The sequence below is a fragment of the Homo sapiens genome, chromosome 4 (assembly GCF_000001405.40).
Source record: "Homo sapiens chromosome 4, GRCh38.p14 Primary Assembly".
NCBI lineage: Eukaryota > Metazoa > Chordata > Mammalia > Primates > Hominidae > Homo > Homo sapiens.
Window position 1 is genome coordinate 158,602,126 of NC_000004.12, and position 27,181 is coordinate 158,629,306.

The 27,181-nt window shown below is 36.7% G+C and overlaps 1 protein-coding gene across 25 annotated transcripts in view; it reads left to right on the plus strand.

The window, feature by feature from the left end:
- RXFP1 (relaxin family peptide receptor 1) overlaps window positions 1–27,181 on the plus strand; it is a 131,659-nt gene that overhangs the window by 80,412 nt on the left and 24,066 nt on the right. For 16 of the 25 annotated variants that reach the window (NR_045580.2, NR_045582.2, NR_045581.2 and 13 more), the window contains 7 exons: window positions 2,943–3,014; window positions 5,847–5,918; window positions 10,005–10,076; window positions 10,166–10,237; window positions 15,006–15,080; window positions 24,695–24,766; window positions 26,513–26,584. Coding sequence is in view for 19 of the 25 variants with exons in the window: in NM_001363776.1 (NP_001350705.1) it covers window positions 2,943–3,014; window positions 5,847–5,918; window positions 10,005–10,076; window positions 10,166–10,237; window positions 15,006–15,080; window positions 24,695–24,766; window positions 26,513–26,584 (507 nt within the window). In the remaining 6 variants the exon portion in view is untranslated. Of the gene's footprint in view, window positions 1–2,942; window positions 3,015–4,736; window positions 5,007–5,846; window positions 5,919–8,507; window positions 8,561–10,004; window positions 10,077–10,165; window positions 10,238–15,005; window positions 15,081–24,694; window positions 24,767–26,512; window positions 26,585–27,181 lie in introns of those variants that run through there. The other 9 variants (NR_045579.2, XM_011532175.2, XM_017008517.2 and 6 more) reach the window with 5 other exon arrangements.

Sequence of the window (27,181 nt, forward strand, 5' to 3'; positions counted from 1 at the left end):
GGGTTGTTCTATTCAATGAGAATAACAGCATCTACCTCTTTCTATCCCAATAGGATATTGTGAAATGTAGAGAATGTTATTTGTCAAAATATTTTATGTCATTTAGAAAGAAGTAACCTATAAATCCTAGACACTATTAATAAAAACCCAACTTTTTAAGTAACATTACTTAGAGGTCTTTCAATGAGCCTCACTTTCCTCTATAGTAACTCTCCTCCTTCAAGTGCAGTTAACCTCTTCCTCTTGGGTTCTCTCGTAGAACCTCACTTGTGTCTCTTTTATGTATACTAAACATTCTTGCTTGTGCTATAGTGATTCAGGTCCTGTTATCTACCTGAAAAAGGAAAATGCCATGGCCTATATATCCTCCAAAGTTCCTAATAGAGTCTAATAATCCCTAAATAAATGTTATTGAAATGAATTTATAAATAAATACAAAAAAAAAAAGAAGTTGGTTGCCTCATTAGCCCCGGGCTGTTAAGACTGAAGTTATTATTCAAAGAAAATTCTCTATTTATAGATAAAGTATAATTTGTGCAAATAGAGTATAAACTTCTTAAAGGCAGGTATCCAACATGTGCAAATGGCAGGCATTCAACACATTTTTTGAGATAATGAATGAATGAATGAACAATTTTTTTTTTTTGAGACAGAGTCTCACTCTGTCGCCCAGGCTAGAGCGCAGTGGCGCGATCTTGGCTCACTGCAACCTCTGTCTCCCAGGTTCAAGCGATTCTCAGAACACATTTTTAAGGACACACTAAACTTTCATCTATATCCTTAAATCAAACTCAGGTTTTTTTGTTTGTTTGTTTTTTGTAAACAGACAGGGTCTCACTGTGCCCCCCAGGCTGGAGTGCAGTGGTGCAATCACAGCTCACTGCAGCCTTGACCTCTGAGGCTCAGGTGATCCTCCTGCCTTAGCCTCCCAAGTAGTTGAGACTACTGGCATGCACCACCATGCCCAGCTAATTTTTTTAATTGTTTGTAGAGATGGCGGTGGGGGGGCAGTCTCACTATGTTGCCAAGCTGGTCTTGAACTCCTGGGCTCAAGTGATCCTCACACCTTGGTCTCCCAAAGTACTGGAATTATAGGTGTGATCCACTGCACCCAGCCAAATCCAAATATTTAACAATTTATCTTGACACAATATAAACATTTAAACAGGATATAAGCAGAATTTAGAATCTAAGTCAAGTCAGAATCATTAGCAGAAAAGAGCTCCTCAATTAGTTAATATATACAAGGAAATAATATTTGGTGACAGCCAGCAACTGAGAGTAGTTTCAAAAGGGAATTACTTGTTAATCAGCCTTTGGTATTATTTATGTAAAAAGCCATTAAGTGTCTGATATGTGTAGTCTAGAAAAGTGATTTTTAACTTTTTTTCTTTCATTATTGTTTCCCTTCCCCCAGGGAGACTTTTTAGACTTTTTTTTTTCTATTTGTCCCCTCCTGTGAAATTTTAATACTACAGATATACGGACAGGCGCAGTGGCTCACGCCTGTAATCCCAGCACTTTCGGAGGCCGAGGCAGGTGGATCACAAGGTCAGGAGTTCGAGACCAGCCTGACCAACATGGTGAAACCCCATCTGTACTCAAAATTTAAAAATTAGCCAAGCGTGGTGGCGCACGCCTGTAATCCCAGCTACTCAGGAGGCTGAGGCAGGAGAATCGCTTGAACCCAGGAGGCAGAGGTTGCAGTGAGCCGAGATCATGTCACTGCACTCCTGCCTGGGCCACAGAGTAAGACTCCATCTCAATAATAATAATAATAATAATAATAATAATAATAATAATACAGATATACTATATATGTTCTTGTGTATATCTGCATTATACATTTAAAAAGTAAGATTTTTTTTTTCTTAAGAACCAATTCTCACCTTCATTGAGAGTGCATGGACTTCTAGACTCTAGAACAGTGTTTCTCAAATTAGATTCCAAAAATGTGTTCCAAAGAGTCCAAGAAAGTTTTTTTTAAGAAGGATTCATCACCAAGTTTAAGCAACACCACTTCAAAACCTAAACATTGTTAGTGCTTATTGTATAAAACTGTCTTAACCTGAGTTAAGTTAACCTCCAGACAATGCGGTCTGTTGCTCACTTATAAGTATCCGCTCCGTGGTACTATATAATGATAGTACTAATAATATCATATTATTAGATACCATCTAATCCAAATCCCTCCTTTCACTGTTAAAGAGACTGACTTGGAGAGGTTGTGTGTGATTCATGCAAGGATCCCCAGCTACACTGGTTTTGGTTTTTTTATTGTTTCATTTATTTTGCTTTTACTACATTACATTGCTGTTCTAAAACAAAAAATTAAGGACTTGGGACCTTTCCAGTACAACCAAAATTATGTGGATCTGGTCTGTGTCAAACTGCTTATTAAATTGTGATACAAAAGAAAATCTTCCTGTACAACTTCTTAGAAGTTGAAATGGAATCACTTATTGAATAAAGATGATCCAATTATAGGTACCAATTGATGTTTTCCTTCATAACTAATTTTAAGGTGGTGGAATGTGAGCAATGAAATATTGAGAAATACAATATTTAATTTCTTGAGTGTTTTTAAACAGAAAATACTGTTTTTATTGTCACTTAGAAACTGAGATGCCTTCTAATGTTTGTTAAATACAAATAGGAAAGAAAAACATAACTGAAAATCAATTTTTTCAATTTTATTTTTTAACATTTTTTGTCAGAATTACAGTCATAACCAAAATTTTAAAAAAATGAATAGCTTTAATAGTGCAAAACTAACAGCTAGACCTAGTTCAAGTGATATGATAAATATGAGAGAGACATTATGAAGCAAAATGTTTCCTGAAAGCTAGTACTAAAGTAAATAGTTTGTAATTATCCCTATTGTTGTAATTTAAAAGTAAAGGAAAAACAACTTTAAGAATCAAAATTTACATTTATTTCAGGTCACTTCAGTGGAACTTAATAAGAAAGCTTCCTCCTGATTGCTTCAAGAATTATCATGATCTTCAGAAGCTGTAAGAAAATACTTAATTCCTGGTATTACAATTAACTAGCATTTTTGGCCATGTCTTTTTCTTCCTACTTCTGTGAACACCAACACTATTCCGCTGCTTGTGTCTAATCCCTATTCAGGGAAATATTTAGCTGTTAACTGAAGACTTCCAGGTAACACTTATTTTTTCTGAGTAATTTTAGAAACCATTCTAGAAAAACCTCAGACACATATTTCCAAAGGAACTGGAACATGTGTGCTGTGAATCCTCCTACCACAATCCCCCAAAACGGAGATACTTAGAAGCTTTTATCCTCTGCGTTATTCTAGCATGGAATACCTCAATGCTCATCTTAGAGAAAAATGTTACGCTCTTTTGTCAGATTCACGATGAAGAAAGTGAAGAATTTTCTTCCATGTGTTTTCAAATTCATTATCCACCTAAAATAGCAAGTCACTGTGGGTTGAAACCTCTGAGCATGTTGTCTTGGAGACTTGATTCCATTTTCACATCTGCCTTGTGAGTTGCGTTTTATTTTGGCCTTGAGTAGTATCTGACATGCTAGCTTCCCTTCAGAACTCTCAAAATCCATACTGGCCCACGGGATGTTTACCTGTTATTTAGGTCTACTTTGTGACTAAATTATGTTGTCATATGGTGAATTGCTGGGTTTAGATAGTCTGTACCTAAATCACACTAACTAAGAAATATCTCAGGATTCATTGTTTCATTTTTATACCAATATAGATTGGTTCTTATTTTGGTTTTACAATAGGGAAACCTGATAAATTAATATATATCTGTACATTTTTAAAGATAACAGATGGAAATTGAGTGGAATCAGAAGAAGAATTAACCCACTTCCTTCAGTGAAATGTTCTAAAAACCCAGATAGTCTGCAGAAGTATCTATTTCATATTTGAAAATAGAAATTCTAATGAAAATAACTTTTCAAAATTTCATTCTGAACATTTATCAGTCAAAAGAGAAGAACTTTTCACAATTAGGCCTGACAAAACTTCAAGAGTACACTGACTTATTCTATTTTCTGATTTCTGGAGACTGAAGAATTTTTCTGTAGCATCACCTTGTGTCCACTTATTTAAAGGAGCTAGACTACAAATCTAAATATCAAAATTCAGGTTTATATAATGCAGTGGCTTAGCATTTTTGCACAATAAACATTGAATTAATTCTCTTTTTTGAACTAACCACCATACTAATGTGGATGAATTAATTCCTGAATGACCAATTTGTTCCATATAACAAAATGATCAAAATAGCCTAATTATTTAAAAATTTCTAATTGGTTATTAAAAGTCTATACCTTTAGACCTCCAGGCAATGCAGCCTATTCCTTAGTAGATCATTATAACACTAGAAATAAACAAACAAATGCATGATAAATGAGAACCATTCATTACCTACTACATGATTGGGCCCACAGCATGTCCGGTTCAGGTGCATAATAATTTTTTTTTAAGAGACAGGGTCTCACTCTGTCACTCATGCTGGAGTGCAGTAGTATGATCATAGTTCATTGCACCCTCAAACTCCTGGACTTAAGTGATCCTCCCACCTCAGACTCCCAGGTAGCTAGGACTACAGGCATGTGCCACCACACCTGGCTCCTTTTTTTTTTTTTTTTAGAGAGATAGGATCTCACTATGTTGCCCTGCCTGGCTGGTCTGTTTCAAATGATCCTCCTGCCTTGGCCTCCCAAAGCTCTGCAATTATGGGCATAACCCACTTCACCCAGCCTATAATAAATTTTATAATAACATTTCACAATCAAAGTTAGGTTTTCTTGCATGTTGGAGAAATAGGGTACTTTTCAGTCAAAATTTATAATTTAACTGAATGTTCGCTCATATTGATTTCTTTCTTATTGCTCCTAAAAGTTATAACAAATTGCATATAAACTTTCAGGACACTCTAAAGAACAATGGTGACCTGCACTCAGAACATGAAGGCAGCCTTGAAATCCTTACTTTATCATTCCCGCAATCTGGGGCAAGTACACATAGAAGTGCAAAACTTTGTGTGGGTGCAATGATGCAATAGCGTATACTCTGGTACCCATTTCCTTTGACCTCCAGTTAACTCAAGGTCGTATTTTCAGTATTACTTTAGTTAACTATGTAAGCCTGCATTCTTGTCTTGACATTCCAATCTAATTTATATTCTTCTAGTCCTGATTATTTTTATGTTTTTTTTCTTTTGCCACTTTTACTCCTTATAAATTTCCTCCAAACAGTCTTTGGAACAAGGTTTGGATGTCAAATTAATGAGATCAAAATTGATTTGGTTGACAGATTTGTGATTAACATAGAATATGGTTTGGGACATTAAAAACATCATACACTTTTAGGTTGGCTAGCACTGTGTTGAGCACTTAACAAGTTTAAAGAATTATAACAAGACCCGTATTAAAAGTCTGGCTTCTAGACTTCTGATTTATGAGGGCTTTACTATGTGTTAACATTTTATTTCTAGAAAATTCAAATAGTAAGCTTTGGCTGTTATTCATTCATCTTTATAACTAGAATTTCTAAATACAAACCAGCCTAATTGTACATAAATTTAACAGAAACATGAAGTGACATGATATCTGGCTTCACTAAATTATTTTGTAATGTTTACCTTTTTCAATTTTTAAAATGTTTAATCGTCATCAAATACACATAACATAAAATGTGGCATCTTAACCATTTTTAAGTCTACCTTCAGAGGCATTAAGCACATTCATATTGCTATGCTACCATCACCATCATCCATCCACAGAATTCTTTTTGTCTTGCAAAAGTGAAACTCTGCTTCATTTTTTTTTCTTTTTAATAATCATTTTCACAGGTACCTGCAAAACAATAAGATTACATCCATCTCCATCTATGCTTTCAGAGGACTGAATAGCCTTACTAAACTGTAAGTACCAGTGTGAATTAATTTGCCCATTCCATGGTAGTCTGACAGCCTAGACTATTCCAATCCAGACCAGCCTCCCTGTCCATGACAGTACCAAGGAGCCATGCAAGTGATGCTGAAGGGGCAGTAGAGCACCGTGGCTAAGAGCATAGGATTGTGAGTTAGACAGGCTTCAGTCCAAGTCCTGATTGCCTTACTTACTAGGTGTGTGATCTTGAGCAATTTGTATTCCTTTCTTTTTTTTTTTTTTTTTTTTTTTTTTTTGAGACAGAGTCTCTCTGTCACCCAGACTGCAGTGCAGTGGCGCAATCTCAGCTCACTGCAGCCTCCGCCTTCCAGGTTCAAGCAATTCTCTGCCTCAGCCTCCCGAATAGCTCCAGCATCCAGCATGAGCCATAGACCAAGACCCTGTCTCTGACAAAGAAAAAAAAAAAGCCTGATGATGATATTTGTGATGAAGAAGAAAAAACCCAAAGACTTCCCCAGTTATTCAATTACTCTTTCTTCACTAATCCCACTTTTACAAATGCATGAAATACTGTAAGGTTAAAGAAATAAAGCTTTTTGTGGTAAAATATACATAAGCTAAAATTCACCATTTAACTGTTTTTAAGTAAACCATTCAGTGGCATTAAGTACATTGACATTGTTATGGAACCATCATCACCATCCACCTCCAAAACTTTTTCATCTTCCCCAACTGAAACTCCATATTTGTTGAATAATAATTCCTCATATCTGTCTCTCCCAATTTCCCCCTCTCCCCAGCCCCTGGCAACCATCATTCTACTTTCTGTATTTATTAATTGGCTACTTTAAGTACCTCATATAAGGAGAATCATAAAATATGTAGTTTTTTGTGTCTGGTTTATTTCACTTAGCACAATGTCTTTAATGTTCACGTGTTGTAGCATGTGTCAGAATTTCCTTTTTTAGGGCTGAATAATAGTCCATTGTATTTATGTACCACATTTTGTTTAACTGTTTATCTGTCAGTGGACATTTGGGTTGTTTCCACCTTTTGGCTGTTGTGAATAATGTTGCCATCAACACAGGGATACAAATATCTGTTTGGGTCCCCACTTTCACTTTCACTTCTTCTGGGTATATACCAAGAATTGGAATTGCTAAATCAGATGGTAATTCTTTGATTTTTGAGGGACTGTCATTTGATTTGATTTTGATTTTTTAAGGGACTGCCATACTATTTTCCACAGCAACTGTACCATTTTACTTTCCAACTAGTGTTGCACAAGAGTTCCGATTTCTCCACATCCTCACCAACGTTTGTGTTCTCGTTTCATTTGTTTGTTTTGACAATAACTATCCTAATGGGTGTGAATGGTATCTCATTGTGCTTCTTTTAAAAAAAAAGGCTTTCTCAATGTTCCGTTTTATTGAGTTCTGCCATGCAGCATTCTAGAAGTAACTGGAAAGAAGTATAACCAAAAATCACATGAATACATAACTCCCTGTATTTCCATTTATGTCCCCTTGTTTTCCACCTATACTGTTCTGTATCCTAACGCAAGAAACCCATTCCAGTCAGATTTTTGGCTTGTGGTATCAGAGTTTGGGATTGAGTCGAGAAGAGCACCTAGTAATTTACTAGCAAAATGGAAGAAGACTGCAGGAGACTCGAAGCCTTAACAGTAACCACTTTAGCCATGTCCTCTCCCCTTCTACCCCATCTCTGCTCTTTTATGTCTTAGCAAAGTACCCAGAATCAATATTGGACTCACTCTTCAGGCTCCTGACTGTCTTCTTTCCATATATCTTTGCAAAATTTACTAAACACTATCTGTTTGGTTTAATGTTCAGTGAATGTGGAGGAAGCTCTTGAAAGGCAGTACAGAACTGGAGAGTAAACTTAAAAGTGTCCTCCCTCTCTTTTCATAGCTTTTCTATAGTGCTGGAGTGTTGTTGAGTGTTAAAGATGCCACATATTTCTAGTTAAATAATCATTAGTCCCAGCACTTTGGGAGGCTGAGGTGGAAGGATCACGAGGTCAGGAGATGGAGACCATCCTGGCTAACACAGTGAAACCCTGTCTCTACTAAAAATACAAAAAATTAGCCGGGCATGGTGGCACACGCCTGTAGTCCCAGCTACTCAGGAGGGTGAGGCAAGAGAATCGCTTGAACCTGGGGGGCGGAGGTTGCAGTGAGCCGAGATCGCGCCACTGCACTCCAGCCTGGGCATCAGAGTGAGACTCCATCTCAAAAAATGATAATAATAATCATTAGATACCTGATGATTTATGGATCTAAACAATGATTAGATCCATAAGTATTCATTAACCCTCACAGAGTGCACATATTTTAGTTAGATACCATGAGGGCATAGAAAGATAACTCAGGCTGGCTCCCTTTAAGTAGTTATACCTTAGCGTTTCAGGTAGAGCACTGAGCTATCACTGGGGAGAGGCAGGACTCCTGTTCTCTAGAAGTTTATGATCTAAGATGGGAAAACAATGCCAACATATATAAAACATTAGAGAACCATTTTTTAAAAGTACTTAAGTTCCAAACCTGTGTTGCTGAAACCAAAATTGCTATTATGGTTCACTGAAAGGAGTGATTATCTCAGGTCCAGAGCAGTAAAGGATGGCTCTGAAAAATGAAGAGGACTGGGCAAAACAGGTGAGCATAGGGAGCAATAGTGGATCAAATGTCTTTTACCTGGAGGGTTTTTGTATAAGAGAACACCCTGAGGTTGTAAGTCATTTCTTACCCCTTACTGTGCCCACCTGGGCTCCAGGTTTGCAAAGGAGGGAAGGAAGAGGCTCTATCATGGGGTGCCATTGCTCACTAGCCCTGAGCAAAAGTCAAACCCAGCAAGGGAGAACAGATTCCTGGCAGGAGAAATTCTACAGGATGTTTACTCAAGATATGAAAGACTGAAGAAGAGAGAGAAATCAGTGTGAATCTTGTATTAGTGGAAGTGAAACTTGAACTCTTACTTGCATATGAATCATAAGCAGAAAGAAAAAGGAAAGAGGGAAGAAACTGGAGTAAGAGGCGTGAGCAGAGACACTGCTATAAAACATAATATGTACTGAATGTTTATGGCATGCATTGCCTCTATTAAACCATAGGAAGTAGATCCTGATACTATCCCCATTTTAGAGTTGGGGAAGCTGAGGCTTACAGGAATTCACTGCTTGCTCAAAGTCACTGTTAATAAGTAGAGGAGTCAGGAATCAAACTGTTCGATAGCAGATTTAGTGCAGTGAATTGCTACACTAGAGAGATTGAGACATGAGTGAACATGGCAAGAAGAGGAGATCAACACAATAGAACAAAGAGTTATTTCACTTTGCAGAGGAGTGGGATGTAAAGATGGGTAAGGCAGAGTCAAACCCTTTAGCAAGGGATGCAATGCCCTTTTGTCCATAACAGGCCCCTGCCTGCCTCCTAGGTTTATCTCCTGTCTCTCCTTATAGCCCCTTCATGGTGAGGCCCCATTGAATTACCTGGTGATTTCTTAACTTGTCAGACTCTCATACCTCTTGCTTTTGCATAAGCTATTTCCTCTGCCTAGAATAGCTCCTGCCTGTTCTTTGCTTTGTGAATTGCATGTCTTCATCCAAGACTCTTCTCAATTGTGCCTCTGTTTAGTAAAGCCTTCTCCTGGCTCCTCATTCCTCCACACTCTGCAGTCCCTACCCCTAGCAAAGCTGGGTGCTTTCTCCTCTGCAATGGCAGAGCAACCATGCATTATATACTTCCCTCTGCTTCCCTGACATTACAAAGTAATCTGTTCACATGCTGTGGCCTCTCCAGACTCAAAGCCCCTTAAAGAAAGGGATGGCATGCTTAGCACAGTGCCATGGGGTAAGTATTCAAAATAGGTTAATGAATACATGAATAGATGAATGAATAGATTGATTAATTAATTATGGGGAAATTTAAAACTAGGTATGATAAGGTAAGTGGTAGCAATTCTTAGAGATTCAAAGGCAGGGAAGTGGCATGATGAGAATGCTATGTAAAAAATTTAAGATGGATGATTATTGTTTTTACTTTTCTTATTGTAAGACATCAAAAATATACAAATTTATTGTAGTTATTTCTCCTTTTCCAGGTATCTCAGTCATAACAGAATAACCTTCCTGAAGCCGGGTGTTTTTGAAGATCTTCACAGACTAGAATGGCTGTATGTTTAATTTATGTGGCATTTTATTGCACTAGTTTTTAGATTCTAGAGATATATAAATGAATTAATTTTTTTCTTCTGGCTGTCAGGATAATTGAAGATAATCACCTCAGTCGAATTTCCCCACCAACATTTTATGGACTAAATTCTCTTATTCTCTTGTAAGTACTAAACTAAAGCAAATATTTCAATCAAAGGCAAAGACATGAATAAAAATTAATGCTTAAATTTAATACCATTAAATTTGGATTTGTTAAAACCCCAAAGAGGCCTTTTCAATGAAAAACCTTTTCTTAATCATATTCTATAAGGCTATTTATAGTTCCAACAATTTTAAAAGATTTTCTGTCTTCTAGAATATCAGCCCATAAAAACTGAATACATTCTCACTCATATTTTATCACAATATTCTTTTTTTTTTTTTTTTGACATGGAGTCTCACTGTATCGCCCAGGCTGGAGTGCAGTGGCGTGACCTTGGCTCACCACAACCCCCGCCTCCTGGGTTCAAGCCATTCTCCTGGCTCAGCCTCCCAAGTAGCTGGGATTACAGGTGTGTGCCATCACGCCCAGCTAACTTTTGTATTTTGAGTAGAGACGGGGTTTCACCATGTTGGCCAGGCTGGTCTGGAACTCCTGACTTCATGATCCACCCATCTTGGCCTCCCAAAGTGCTGGGATTAAGGCGTGAGCCACCACGCCCAGCCTTTATCACAATATTCTTAAGCACATCGTTACTGTCTATACAGGCAGACCTCAGTGATATTGTGGGTGTTGTTCCAGACCACTGTAATAAAGCAAATGTCACAATAAAGCAAGTCACACAAATTTTTTTGGTTTCCCAGTGCACATAATAAAGTTATGTTTACACTATACTATATTCAATTAAGTGTGCAATAACATTATGTTTAAAAATGTGCATACCTTAATTTTAAAACTCTTTATTGCTAAAAAGAGCTAACAATCATCTGAGTTTTCAGCGAGTCATAATCTTTTTGCTGGTGAAGGGTCTCATGTCAATGTTGACAGCTGCTGACTAACCACAGTAGTGGTTGCTGAAGCCTGGGGTGGCTGTGGCAATTTCTTAAAATAAGATAACAATGAGGTTTGCTACATTGATTGACTTTTAATTTCATGAAAGATTTCTCTATGGTATGCAATGCTATTTGCTAGCATTTTACCCACAAGAGAATTTCTTTCAAAATTGAAGTCAATACTCTCAAATCCTCCCAATGCTTTATCAAATAAGTTTATGTAATATTCTAAATACTTTGTTGTCATTTCAACAGTGTTTACAGCATCTTTACCAGGAGTAGATTCCATCTCAAGAAGCCACTTTCTTTGTTCATCCATAAGAAGCAACTCCTCATCTGTTCAAGTTTTATCATGAGATTGCAGCAATTCAGTCACCTCTTCAGGCTCCACTTCTAATTCTAGTTCTCTTGCTATTTCTACTTCTTCTACAGTTACTTCTTCCACTGAAGTCTTGAACCCTTCAAAGTCACCCATGAGGGTTGGAGTCAACTTCTTCCAAACTCCTGTTAATGTGAATATTTTGACCTTGTTTTCATGAATCACAAATGTTCTTAATGGCATCTAGAATGGTGAATGCTTTCTAGAAGGTTTTTAATTGACTTTGCCCAAATCGTCAGAGGAATCACTATCTGTGGCATCAGTAGCCTTACAAAATGTACATCTTAAATAATAAGACTTGAAAGTTAAAATTAGCTTTTGATCCATGGGCTGTAGAATGGATGTCGTGTTAGCAGGCATGAAAACAACATGAATCTCCTTGTAGATCTCCACTGGATCTCTTGGGTGACCAGGTGCATTGCCAGTGAGCAGTGTATCTTGAAAGGAAATCTTTTTTTTCTGAGCAGTAGGTCCCAAGAGTGGGCTTAAAATGTTTAGTAAACCATGCTGTAAACAGATGTGCTGTCACCCAGGCTTTGTTGTTCCATTGATGGAGCACAGGCAGAGTAGATTTAGCGTAATTCTTGAGGGCCCTAGGATTTTTGGAACAGTAAATGAGCGTTGACTTCCACTTAAAGTCACCAGCTGCATTTGCCTCCAACAAGACAGTCAGCTTGTCCTTTGAAGCTTTGAAGCCAGGTATTGACTTCTCCTCTCTAGCTATGAAAGTCTTGTATGGAATATTTTTTCAATAGAAGGTTGTTTCATCTACATTGAAAATCTGTTGTTTAGTGGAACCACCTTCATGAATGATCTTAGCTAGATCTTCTGGATAACTTGCCGCAGCTTCTCTATTAGTACTTCCTGCTTCACTTTGTAATTTTCTGTTATAGAGACAGCTTCTTTCCTTTCCTTATGAATCAACATCTGCTAGCTTTAAACTTTTATTCTGCAGCTCCTTCACCTCTCTCAGCCTTCATAGAATGAAGCAGAGTTAGGCCTTGCTCTGGATTAGGCTTTGGCTTAAAGGAATGATGTGGCTGGTTTAATCTTCTATCCAGACCACTAAAACTTTTTCCATCAGCAATAAGGCTGTCTTACTTTCCTATCATTTGTGTGTTCATTGGAGTAGCACTTCTAATTTCCTTCAAGAATTGTCCTTAGCATTCACAATTCGGCTAACTGGTGCATGAGGCCTGGTTTTTTGACTTATCTCAGCTTTCAAAATGCCTTCCTTACTATGTTTAATCATTTCTAGCTTTTGATTTAAGGTGAGGAGGTATGCGAGCAGTATATCTTGAAAGAAAACCTTTTTTTTTCTGAGAAGTAGGTCTCAAGAGTGGGTTTAAAATATTTAGTTAACCATGCTGTAAACAGATGTGCTGTCATTCAGACTTTGTTGTTCCATTGTAGAGCACAGGCAGAGTAGATTTAACATAATTCTTGAGGGCCCATAATTCTTGTGGGACTCTTCCTTTCATTTGAACACTTAGAAGCCATTGTAAGGTCATTAATTGGCTTAATTTCAATATTGTTGTGTTTCAGGGAATAAAAAGGCCTGAGGAGAGAGATATGGGGGAATGGCTGGTTGGTGGAGTAGTCAGAACACACACAACATTTATTGATTAAGATAGCTGTCTTGGCTGGGTGGGGTGGCTCATGCCTGTAATCCTAGCACTTTGGGATGCCAAGGCGGGCAGATCATCTGAGGTCAGGAGTTCAAGACCAGCCTGACCAACATGCTGAAACTCCATCTCTACTAAAAATAGAAAATTAGCTGGGTGTGGTGGCACATGCCTATATCCCCAGGTACTTGGGAAGCTGAGGCAGGAGAATCGCTTGAACCTGGGAGGTGGAGGTTGCAGTGAGCCGAGATTGCACCATTGCACTCCAGCCTGGGCAACAAGAGTGAAACTTTGTCTCAAAAAAAAAAAAAGATTGCTGTCTTCTATGGGCATGGTTTGTGACACCACAAAACTACTGCGATAGTAACATCAAAGATCACTGATCACAGATCACCACAAACAATATAATAATAAAAAGTTTGATGGCTGGGCAGGGTGGCTCACGTCTGTAATCTCATGCTTTGGGAGATTGAGGAGAGAGGATAGCTTGCAGCCAGGAGTTTGAGACCAGCCTGGGCAATATAGCAAGACCCCATCTCTACCAAAAAAAAAAATTGTTTTTAGTTAGCAGAGCATGGCGACACATGCCTGTAGTCCCAGCTACTCAGGGGGCTGAGACAGGAGAATCACCTGAGCTCAGGAGTTTGAGGCTGCAGTGCACCATGGTCGCACCACTGCACTTCAGCCTGGACAACAAGGCAAGACCCTGACTCAAAAAAAGGAAAAAGTTTGAAATACTCTGAGAATTACCAAAATATGACACAGACACACTAAGTGGGCACATGCTATTGGAGAAATGGCATTCATAGACTTGCTCAATGCAAGGTTGCCACAAACCTTCAATTTTAAAAAATGCACTATCTGCAAAGTGCAATAAAGCAAAACACAATAAAACAAGGTGGGCCAGGTGCAGTGGCTCACACCTGTAATCACAGCACTTTGGGAGGCCGAGGTGGGCAGATCACCTGAGGTCAGGAGTTCAAGACTAGCCTGGCCAACATGGTGAAACCCCATCTCCACTAAAAATATAAAAAGAAAAAAATAGCCGGGCATCGTGGCAGGCGTCTGTAATCCCAGCTACTCAGGAGGCTGAGGCAGGAGAATTGCTTGAACCTGGGAAGCAGAGGTTGCAGTGAGCCAAGATTGCACCACTGCACTCCAGCCTGGGCAGACAGAGCAAGACTCTGTCTCAAACGAAATAAATAAATAAATAAATAAAAATAAAACAAGGTGTGCCTACATTAATCTTGGTAAAGAAAAAAAATGCCTTTAAATCATCTCCTTTCCACCATTTGTTGTTGACGGGTTTAGGCTATTTTTTTTTTTTTTTTTTTAGTTACTAACATTACTGCTTTCCTCCATATAATAACTTATATTTGTTAAAATTTTATTACTATCAAGTATTTACATATAATTAGATTATAATTAAATATAGTTAGATTATAATTAAATTATAATTTAAATAAAATTAGAGGGAAGGCTGGGCATGGTGGCTCACGCCTGCAATCCCAGCACTTTGGGAGTCCGAGGTGGGTGGATCATTTGAGGTCAAGAGTTTGAGACCAGCCTGGCTAACATGGTGAAACCCCGCCTCTACTAAAAATACAAAAATTAGCTGGGTATGGTGGCACATGCCTGTAACCCCAGCTGCTCGGAGGGCCGAGGCAGGAAAATCACTTGAACCTGGGAGGCAGAGGTTTCCATGAGCTGAGATCGTGTCACACCACTCCAGCCTGAGTGCCTCCATCTCAAAAAAAAAAAAAAAATTAGAAGGAAAAAACAACTAATTTAGTGGATTTGTGGGTTTCATAAGAATAATAATAATACCATGTTTGACCCAAGATGAGAAGAGAACCAGAAAAATGTGACTTGTTTGTCTTTTCCTTTTTCAGAGTCCTGATGAATAACGTCCTCACCCGTTTACCTGATAAACCTCTCTGTCAACACATGCCAAGACTACATTGGCTGTAAGCGATTCTGTCTTTTTTTAAAGAACTCAACTAAATTTTCTGTTTTTACCTAATTCATTCCAGATATAAGATTGTTTTAGTTTTTCTTAAAAATGATAAGGGTTTTAGTATCATATCACATTTCCTCAAACTGCTTTAACATGATTTTTATGTTAAACATCTACATTATCTAAACTAACATCTCTAAACTCTCAGCAAAATAAAACATCTCAAAAAAAATATATATATATATATATATACTGGAGCCAGGAAGAAGAAACACAGAAGGAATGTCACCACATCTATGTAACATCTCCCCCTTTCCCTGCTGGTATACTCACCTACTAATTTGGTACAGAAAGACTAAGTTGTTTTAATTTCACTCTAGAATTCTGAATAATAAGAATATGATATTTAGCATTTATTTTTCAAAAACTAATCATGATAAAATATGTTCCATGGAATATTTTACAAAGTAGCTTTGCTTGTAGTAATAAGTATCACTCCACCATTTAGAACTCAACCATCCAGTAAATTTGCCTATTTAGAACACAAGTGAAAAATAAAAGAAAGAAATAACCAAAATAACTACTAACAAGTTCAATCAACAAACTGCCATATGCTGTATCATATGAAAACTCCCTCTGTCTCTTATTTTATAAGAAATTCTCAGAAGTTGGTTGTTTGATTTCTAAGCTCATAGCAGATTACAAATGTCAAATTAAAAGGAAGAGGAAAAGTTAGAGTCAGAAGCATTGATTGTAGTCAGAAGTAACAACTATCAACTTGATAAAAAAGCATAAGTGAGAAATGCTATAAAAAGCAATGACAGTAATTCAAACTGTACTAATCTGCAACCTCTCAGAAAAAAACAAACATTCTGAAAAGTTACTAAGTCCAGTAGGCATTTTGGTATGACAGTATAATACTGTACTGTACATTGAAAACAAGCTAAAGCCATAAAGGAAAGGGCAAATTAAGTTCAACATCCCTCATTAAAATTGAATTTTGGTTCAAATGAATACATTAGCATCTATTACAGCCTCTGTAATCCCAACTTAGTAATTAAACACAATTGAACAATATTTACATAATTAGCAATTAAAATGTGTGCATTTAGACAGAAGCAACTGTGTGCAGTATTATGCACAAGCAATAATAAACCTTGCCTTTGTTTACAAAAAGGCAAGAAAATATACAATATACTTCAGATAAACATCAAAATGATTAAGATGTATTACTAAAAAAATTAAAATTAAAAATATAAAATTAAAAATTTTGTTACTAAAGTTTTCATATGTAAATTCTAGCTATCCAAAACAACTTATTCCATATGAATTCCTGATAGTGAATATTATCCTGATTTTAATTCTAGTAATAATAATACTTTGCTTTATAATTATTTACCTTTTTATAACTAATGATACTATTCTTACCTTGCATGAACTTTCATTTAGCACAGTATGAACTAGAAAATCTGACAGATTTCTTGGCCAAACATCATTTTAACTCTGATTTAGGGGAAAAATACATACAAACTAAAGAGACAGATGACAGCCCAGGAAATTATGCTTCTAAGGTATTTGCAGGACAATAAACTGAAACCTATATTAGTTCTTGCAAAGCAATGAGAAACTGTAAATGCCACAATAAAAGTTGTAAAATTCAAAAAAAAAGAAATATAAGTAATAAGCAAGCATAAGGACAGATATGGCAATAGCCAAAGGTGAACTAAAAGTCAAGAATAAAGTAAACTTTTCTTTTGAGATGAAATTAAGCAAGTTTATTTATTAGCCAAAGAAGTCAATATGAAAAGCTTGAAAATATAGAAGACGATGGGAATACATAATAGTGCAAAGTACTAGAAGACATGGAAAAGAATGGAAAAGTAAAATGTGATCACACACACACACACACACGCATACACACAGCAGTGAAAATGAATGAATTATCAATACTTCAATCAACATGACTCAATTTCAAGCACATATGAATTACTCAAGAAAAAGTCACAGAAGACTACATATATTACATTTCCATTCCTATAATACTGATTAAGATATAGAAAGCCACAAGACAGCAGTACTTCCTCTCTACCTATAAGAAAGAGCTTTGTAATCTACAAAGTCATAATTTTGTGGAGCCCATCAGTAGGCTACAGTCATAAGGTAGCCAAATAAATGGAATTCTAACAAGCAACAAGAAGATGTGGGACATACATACTATTTCACCTTTGGCAGAGCACAGGATGAAGAGTTGGCTGGCGTGAAAGCAGGTACAAAGAAAACTAAAACTTTAATAAACTTGTAAGCTTAAGTGTGGGCTACTATAGTGCTTTAAAAGAACTGGGAACCCCATATGCAAGGGGATTTAGCTATCTTTAACAGGCTCTTTTTCACTGATCTCCACCAACCACAAGAAAAACTAGGAGTAGGTAAGGAAACCAGACAGAGCCCTCATTGGTAGCACAACACAAAACTCCACCTTCTTCTCTAAACTCACCCGTCTCAGGGAACAAAAGCATCAAGCCTTTGGGAGTGGGACAGAAAATCCTCCTGCACCCAGGGACCAGGCAAAGGTCCATTACTTCCATAGGAGGAATAGAAACTAGAGCATTCTGCCCCAGGGTACCAACAAAAAAAAAAACCACTCCAGCCCAGGATCTTGCACTGATCAAAGCAGTGGGTAGTGCCCATTTGTATCACGGCAGGAAATGCTCTTATGAGAGTTTGGCTTCTGGAGAAGGGGGAACAGCAAAGCTGAGACAGCCCCATCCCCAAAAGCATAAGGAAAAAGAAGTTCATGTCAAATTATAAAGCAATCAACAGAACCAGAACCAGCAATAACTCAGATTTTACAACTTCCAAACAGAGACATTAAAATGCTTATGATTAATAAGTTAAGTAATATAGTGGAAAGATGGATAATATGCACGAACATAAAGAAAATGTCAGCAAAAAGATGGAAACTACAAAAGAGAAACAAAAAATTATTTCAACAGCCTTAGCAGCAGAATGAACACAGCTAAGGAAAGAATCAACAACCTTGAAGATATGTCATAGAAAGCTTTCAAATTGAAACGAAAGAAAAAGAGACAAAAATAAAGGCAAAACAGAATCCAAAAGCTGCAGGATAATACAATTGTCTAACAAATGTGTAAATGGAGTCACAGAAAAAGAATAGAGGAAGAACAGGACAGAAGACAAGCTGGAGAAATAATAGCCAAGAATTTTGTTACATTAATATAATGCAACAAACCAGAAATCTAAGAACCTCAGAAAAATCCATGCAGAAGTCAAGAAAAACTAGATAAATTATAGTCAAACTGCTGAAAACCAAAGATAAAGAAAAGTATCTTAAGGCAATCAGAGAAAACAGAAACATTATACACTGTAAAACAAAGACAAGAAAAACAACTTTTTTTTAAAAGCCAGAAGGACTATGGTAATATTGGCGAAAAAGATTTCAGAACAAGGACTATCACCAGGGATAAAGAGCGATATCATATAATAATAAAAAGATCAATTAAGCAAAAATATGTGATAATCTTAAATGAGTAAACAGTTTCAAAATACATAAAGTGAAAACAATAGAACTGTAAAGAGAAATAGCTAAAAGTCAAAGGATGTCATTTAAAGCTGATGAATCTTTGGCCGGGCATGGTGGCTCACACCTATAATCCCAACACTTTGGGAGGCCGAGGCAGGAGGATCCCTTGAGCTCAGGAGTTTGAGACCAGCCTGGGCAACATAGTGAGACTCTGTCTCTATTAAAATTTTTTTTAAAAAATTAGCTGAGCGTTTAGCTGGGCGTGGTGGTGGGCACTTGTAATCCCAGCTACTCGGGAGGCTGAGGCAGGAGAATCACTTGAATCCTGGAGGTGGAAGTTGCAGTGAGCTGAGATCACACCATTGCACTCCCGCCTGGGCGACAGTGAGACTCTGTCTCAAAAAAAAAATAAAAAATAAAAATTACCTGAGCATGGTAGCATGCACCTGTAGGCAGTCCCAGCTACTCAGGAGGCTGAAGTGGGAGGATAGCGTGAGCCTGAGAGATCAAGGCTTAAATGAGCTATGATTGTGCCACTACACTCCAGCCTGGGCAACAGAGGGAGACTTGTCTCTGGAAAAAACAACAACAACGGACAAATCCATAGATTAGATAGACAGTGGTATTCCCAAGGTGAACACTAATAAAAAGCATGTAATTAACCAATATTGTATGGTAAAGAGAGGCAGAGGAGCAGAGAGGAAGACAATGTACACAAATTTTATCATTTCTTAGTATCATCAAAAGAAAGAAGGTATAGTGCATTGAGTAAAGTTACAAAGATTGCCAATAGAATATACAAAGCTTTGTAAATATCATAAGAAATAAATTTTTTAAAACACCATTAGGTTAAGATAAATATTAGACACAAAAAAAACCTGAGGTGAAAGTTTTTTAAACCTATGGAATCGTGTAATAATATTTTTAAAAAACAGACTAAGGCCAACTATATTAATCATATCAATAAATATAAGTAGGCTAAACTCACCTATTAAAAGGAAAAAGACTGGGAAAGAAGACCTGGGAAGATATTTCTCAAAAAATACTTAAAAATGGCCAACAGGCATATGCAAAAATGTTCAACATTACTAATCATCAGAGAAATGCAAATCAAAACCACAATGAGGTATCACCTCACACCTGTTAGAATCTCTATTATCAAAAAGACAAGAGATGACGAGTGTTGACAAGGTTGTGGCTAGAAAGGAATTCTTGTGCACTGTGGATGAGAATGTAAATTAGTACAGCTATTATGGAAAACATATGGAGCTTCCTCTAAAAATTAAAAATAGGACCAGGTGCGGTGGCTTACGCCTGTAATCCCAACACTGTGGGTGGCAGAGGTGGGTGGATCACTTGAGGTCAGGAGTTCGAGGCCAGCCTGGCCAACATGATGAAACCCCATCTCTACTAAAAATACGAAAATTAGCCGGGCATGGTGGCAGGCACCTGTAATCCCAGCTACACAAGAAGCTGAGGCAGGAGAGTCACTTGAACCCGGGAGGCGGAGGTTGCAGTGAGCCAAGATCACACCCCTGCACTCCAGCCTGGGCGACAGAGCAAGACTCCATCTCAAATAAAAAAAAAAATTAAAAATAGAACTACCATATGATCCAGCAGTCCCACTTCTGGGTATATATCCAAAGGAAATTCCATTAGTATGTCAAAGAGATATCTTCACTCCAATGTTCATTGCAGCATTAGTCACAATAGCCAAGATATTAGTCAACCTTAGTGTCCAATGACAGTTGAATGGATAAAGAAAATGTGGTAGATATATACAATGGAATACTAGTCAGCCTTAAAACAGAGATCCTGCCATTTTGACAATATGTGTGAACTTAGGGGACATTATGCTGAGTGAAATAAGCCAGAGACAGAAAGAAAAATACTGCGTAATCTCATTTATACGTGGAATTTCTTTTTAAGTTGAACACATAGAAACAGAGTAGAATCGTGGCTATGGGTCATGGCAGGGGGAATGAGGAGATGTAGGTTCAAGGGTACAAAATTACAGTTATGAGATGAATAAGCATACAGATCTAATGTATGGCATGTCTATAGTTTAATAACACTGTATTGTATAGTGGAAATTTGCTAAAAGGGTAGAGTTCAGGCACTCTTACCATAAAAGAAATTAACTATGTAAGGTGATGGGTATGTTAATTTGCTTGGTTGTAGTAATCAGTTTACTATGTACTGTATATCGAAACAGGCTATATACCTTAAGTATACACAGTTTTTAAAAGTATGTCATGTAATTGCAAACAAAAGAAAGCAGGCATCATATATTTTATCTAAGTAGGTGGAATTCTGGCCAATGTGCATTAAACAACACAATGACATTTTAATGCTATAACTGCCAATGTCCAATAAAAGATATCACATTATAAGTCTATACACACCAAAGAAATTAATATAGCAACCAAAACAAAAGAAAATGTAGACATACATAAGCAGTAAGAAATAATCCACCACTGGGTCAGGTGCGGTGGTGCATGCCTGTAATCCCAGTACTTTGGGAGGCCCAGGCGGGTGGATCACCTGAGGTCAGGAGTTTGAGACTAGCCTGACTAACACGGTGAAACCCTGTCTCTACTAAATACAAAAAAAAAAAAAAAAATTAGCCAAGCATGGTGCCTGTAATCCCAGCAAATCAGGAGGCTGAGGCAGGAGAATCACTTGAATCCAGGAAGCAGAAGTTGCAGTGAGCCGAGATTGTGCCATTGCACTCCAGCCTGGGCAACAAGAGTGAAACTCCATCTCAAAAAAAAAAAAAAAAAAAAAAAAGATAATCCACTACTTCTCACTCCATAAAAGATCAAGTAGAACCAAAATAAATAAATAACATAATTAGTAAGTTAATGCTAATCAGTGTATATCAAACTTCAGTGCCCCTTCTCAATAACAGAACTGCTTTCTTTGGGACAGCAACATAACTAGCTAAAATACTACATTCCCACACTTCTCTGCATTCACATATAGGATATGTCTTAAGTTCTGACTAGGGAGGTCGAAGTATTACAGTGTAGAACTTCAGGAAAATCTCCTTAAAGAGAAAGATGCAAGTCCTTTCTTTTCCTTCTTTATCCAGAAAACAAAAAACTGAATATGATGGCTTGAGCTTTAGCAACATCTTGTACCATGAAGACAAGGGCATGTGATCAGTGAATATGAAAGATCCTGGGTTTCTAACAACTTTGTAAAACAACCATATCAGCCCTGAACTGCCCAACTCTAGATTTTTTTTTCCTGGGGGGAAAAAACCCCAACAACTCTGCGTATTTATGCTATTATAGATGGGTCTCTGTTATATGTACGTGCACCTAATCCTAATAGATATGAACTTGAAAGCAAAGAATGCCCAAAGAACATTCACCAAAATTGACCATATATTTTAGGACATAAACATACACAAACCAAACTCAAGAAAACAGATGGAGGGATTAGCCTAAAACAGGAGAAGGGTCATCTCTTCCTCTGAGACTAGAAAGAGACCAGGTGCATATACAGGTAAGTTTACAGATGTCAGGCAGCAAGTCAAGGGCTTTTCCCTTCTTCATCACCTCAGTTTTCTCTGTGAAATAGGAGCCAGAAATGTAAAAGGTAGAGGAGGAAGCAGATAGAGAGTAAGATTTTCATGTTTTGAATGCCACTAAGGGACAAGTTGAGGGAGAATAGACAAGATTATAGTCTTTGTCTTTTGTTATTGTTGTTATTCAGATTGAAGAACCACCAAAGTTTTCATTTTTATCCAATTCTACCAGGTATAAAGGGAAAAATAAAATGGTTAGTCTCAGAGGCTCATTAGATAGGAAGGGTGGTGGTTTAAACACAGTAAAAAATAGAAATAAAAATAAAAAAACCTTCGTTAACTCCATTAAAGCTTGCAGCTAGGGAGCAAGAAACAGATTTTTTGTTGTTATTTTGATTTTGTTGTTGTTTTTGCTTCAGCTAAGAGGTATGCTGCAAACCAGATCCCTGCTTATCAAGGACTAAAACCCCTAACTTTAGGAAGAAAATATACATATTCATATGTATGCTCATATACAGGCCCATAGAAACACATCATACAAATGTGACCCCAAATGTTTTTATTATTAACACAGGAGGGGGGAAAAACAGTAAATAAACAACCCAAGGTTAAAATAAATTCAAAATTAAACTACCAATTTAATCAAATGTCCTAATTTGTGCCCCAATATGTGCCTCTTTTTGATTTTCACAAATTAGTAAATTAGTACTAACAAATATTTTTGCCAGCCTAATAGAAAACAGTTACGTAAGTAACTAAATAGGAACATCAACTCACCTCATTAAGCGCATTTTGTGAGACTTAAGAGAGCATCACCACCTGGTGGTAGATTCAGGGTAATGATTAGCAACCAAATAGAAGGAAATGGCCAGTCCCTGTCACAGATAACATACATTATGAGAGACCAAAAGCCTTGGCCAAAACTAAGACCAAAAAAAGTAGCACTATAAGTGATTAGCTTCCAACTTAATAGAATAACAGAAATTTGGAAGGGTGATCTAGAATCCACATTTAAGATTCTAATACAATATCCCATGTAGTACAAAAATCCTGTCTACAAAACTATAGAGATATGATACATTGTCTGTGCTAAATACCTGTAGTAAAAAGAAACAACTTCTCTGGATATCATAGATTGCTAGATAGGTTTAAGTTGGGTTTAAATTTGAAACTTTTTATGTCCCTCGATCAGTCAATCTAATTTTGCAACCCAATGCAACATAGAAAACCCCTGATATATTCTATAGCCTGACTTCAAATATATCTCTCATTTTGTTTTTGTTTGTTATAAATAACACCCCATATTCTTCAATTGCCTTGATTTCTAGATACCGTACATCCTGGTCTTCCAGATTTTACAGATATATTTGATTTGTCAGCATCTATTTTTAATGCAGCACCTAAAATAAAACTGACTCACATGTTGGCAGTGGAGTATAGGCACTTCTATTAATACTTTCCATGTTTCCTTTCAGATTTTAATAGCTGTATCACACTTCTGCTCACATGTTTTAGTGACAATTATTCCTGAACAGCTTTATGTTACATGGTGACCAGTAAGCTGAGTGTTAGAAGAGGCTGAATAGATTTAAGGGCCGGCATTTACTTTTGAAAGTCTATCCCTAAACCTCAGCTCTCTTCCTCTGCTCTATAAAGTTCCACCATATACTCACTTATGAAAGAAGAGGAACAATAAAAGAGTAACTTCAAGATAACCACGAAGAGACAGTAAAACATAAAAATTTTGATACATTTTTATGCTTAGACCATAAGGAGGTTTATGGTGACATAGGCATCACACAGCAAGGGAGCCCCAGGAGGATTATATTTAGATATCTATATAGATAGATAGATAGATAGATAGATAGATAGATAGATAGATAGATAGATAGATAGATAGATAGATGTAGAGATAGAGATATATGCAGCTCTCTGAATTGGAGATGCAGAACCTAAGGCAGTCTGCTGTTTGCTCTCTGTCTGCGCTGGCCTTTGAGACAATATAAAAAGCAAATAAGGGTATTCCCAATAGTAAAAGATTATTGAGGATTTTTTCTGGGGAGTGATTAGGCTGGAAAGGTAGGAGCTAAATATTGTTTTGGCAGCAGCAGCTTTTGCAACAATAATAGAATCTGATGCAGACTGTAGCAAAATAAAATCACACCACTTAGGGAAATGCCATCGGTAACTTTGGACAAATGTTTCATATGGTTCATTATGAAATATCGGTTAATAAATTAGGTGTTTATCATAACAAATGTTTTCAATTTGACTTCTTGTTCTTTTCAATTTCTCATATACATGCCCGTATGCACTCATGATACAGATGGGACGCAAAACATTTTTACCTTTAACATAGAAAAAAGTGTATAATATAGATATTTATATATATAATTTCAGCTGTAATAGAAATGGCTACAAGTGAGAGTCTATATGAAATAAACAGTATGTAAAGAAAAGATATTTTATTAGAAGGCAAATAATTTTAACCAATTTATTTCTCTCCATGATTAAGATTTAGCTGTATCGTTTTATTTTTATGTTCCAGGGACCTTGAAGGCAACCATATCCATAATTTAAGAAATTTGACTTTTATTTCCTGCAGTAATTTAACTGTTTTGTAAGTAATATGCTATGCTTTTGAAGTAATATTATCTTTTCTTACAAATAAAATTTAAAAACACCCATTTTATGGAAAAAAAATCCCAAAGAACATCAAGAGTCTGTTGTTGGATCTCAGTTTGAGAAACACTAAATTGAAGTCTTAGCCTATAAGAATGTTTATCCTTTGCAAATTATTATGGTATAAATTAAGTTTTTCTTTACAATTGTGAAAAAATAGTTACAATCAAAATGAAAAACAAAATACTGCTGAATGTTCACAACCTTGAGGATGTAATTATGGACATCAAGATAAACCTTGAAGTGTTAATGAGTGTAATTCCTTCTTATGCATCTCTGGCCTATTTTAAATTCACATGGTATTTTCTGTTAAAAGTAAAGGATGTTAGGTCTTCCTTCAGTAAAAAAAAATCCAACTCTCCTATTCACAGCTTATTTTACCAGAATGTTTTTCAAACTATGGATTGCAACTAATAAGTAGGTGATGAAAGTAATATATAGCACAATTTATTATACCCTTGTCAGCATTTTTAAGGGAAACAGAATTTAATTGAATAGATTATATCAGACTGCAATGCAGATAATAAATGTATTGTTTCATGAGCCTTAGGGTGTGTGTGTGTGTGTGTGTGTGTGTGTGTGTGTGTGTGTGTGTGTTTTATGATCCAATATAAAACACATTTTTTACTGTGTGTTACCACAGGAATGATTTGAAAACCATTATCCTAGACTACACAGGACCCCTGTATATAGGCGATACAATAGCTCCCACTGATATTACCATATGTTTTCTCCAATTCCCCCCATTCCAATGGGTTCCAATGAGTTCCAGTTTGAACTCCTCCTGAGTTCAGCAATCTTCAGGTACAGGGTGCTTGATATAAATAATGCAAAATAGTGTATAGTAATTGCCCAAAGGAAACCAAATTGCACCTGAAGGACACAGAACAAATAGATATCTGAAAAACTTAGAATTTCTTTTCTATTGTACTTGTATTTATTTTTTAAGGAAACCTCTGTATTAAGAGATTATTTGTGGATTTCCTCTTGGCAGGTGTTGTGCTTTTAAGGTCCAAGAATATTGGGAAATGGTGGTAATGGTTTGGAGTGCAGTGAGGAAATAAATGGGAAAGGACAATTTGAAGACATGTCATACAATGTTTAAAAAATTAAAAGCCCTTTAAAACTTAGTTCTGAGTTGGTCCTCTAGGCTAGCTGGTAACACATGAGATCAGTGCAGAAATGTCAAGAGTTAAACAGACTGATTCAGCATCCCAAATTAGAGATTCTTCTAAAGGGGTTCAGCTAAGAGTGGACTTCCTTAGGCAGATCCGCCCGAAATCACATCAAGTAACAAATGAGTAGGAGTGCTGTGGTGGGTGGGCTATTTTGTTAGACAGTCATGCTATGCAGACTGAAAAGACAAGTCTAAAACAGCTCCTATGCTCTTGGTTGCAAGATATGCAGTCTGTATTCTCAAAAGTTGGGGTTTTCACCATTTCTCGTGCAAAGCTCTTCCTCCCTATTTCACTTAAAATTTTGAATTTCTATTATTATCATCATCAAAACATTTGAGAAATTTAGGATTAAAATTAAATTGGATAATTTATACTACTTCAAAATGTCTTTATGTGAAAAATGTACTGTATATTCATTATCTTTGTTTCTGCATACCGTTCCTCTCTTTAGTAATTCTTGTCGGTTACCTAAAGAAGTTACAATGTATTTTTCTTTTTACTTTCAGAGTGATGAGGAAAAACAAAATTAATCACTTAAATGAAAATACTTTTGCACCTCTCCAGAAACTGGATGAATTGTAAGTATGACTGAACATATACTGATAAGAATTTTCTTTCTACTGTTTTTTCACACTTGTACTTACATGTGTTTATACATTTAAGAAATATTACTTATCTCCTCTTTCTAAGCATTATTTACATATATACACCTCAAGCCACAAAGGAATTCAGATGGCATACAAAAAATATGGAAAATAAAAATATAAATATTTGAGGAAAGTGGGTTAAAGGAAACACAGCTGTAAAGAAATAATAAAGCCAGTATAAAATTAATAAATAAAATACATTCTACACCACTCTGTTCTACTCCTAAAGAAGGACGGTAAATTTATGGGGGGTTTTTTGTTTTGTTTTTGTTTTTTGTTTTGTTTGTTTTGAGACAGGGTCTCACTCTGTCTCCCAGGCTGGAGTGCAGTGGCATGACCTCGGCTCACTGCAACCTCCGCCTCCCAGGTTCAAGCAAATATCCTGCCTCAGCCTCCTGAGTAGCTGGGATTACAGGTGCATCCCACCATGCCCAGCTAATTTTTGTATTTGTAGTAAAGATGGGGTTTCACCATGCTGGCCAGGCTAGTAAATTTGTTATTATGTTTCCTAAAGGATTAGGATTCAGG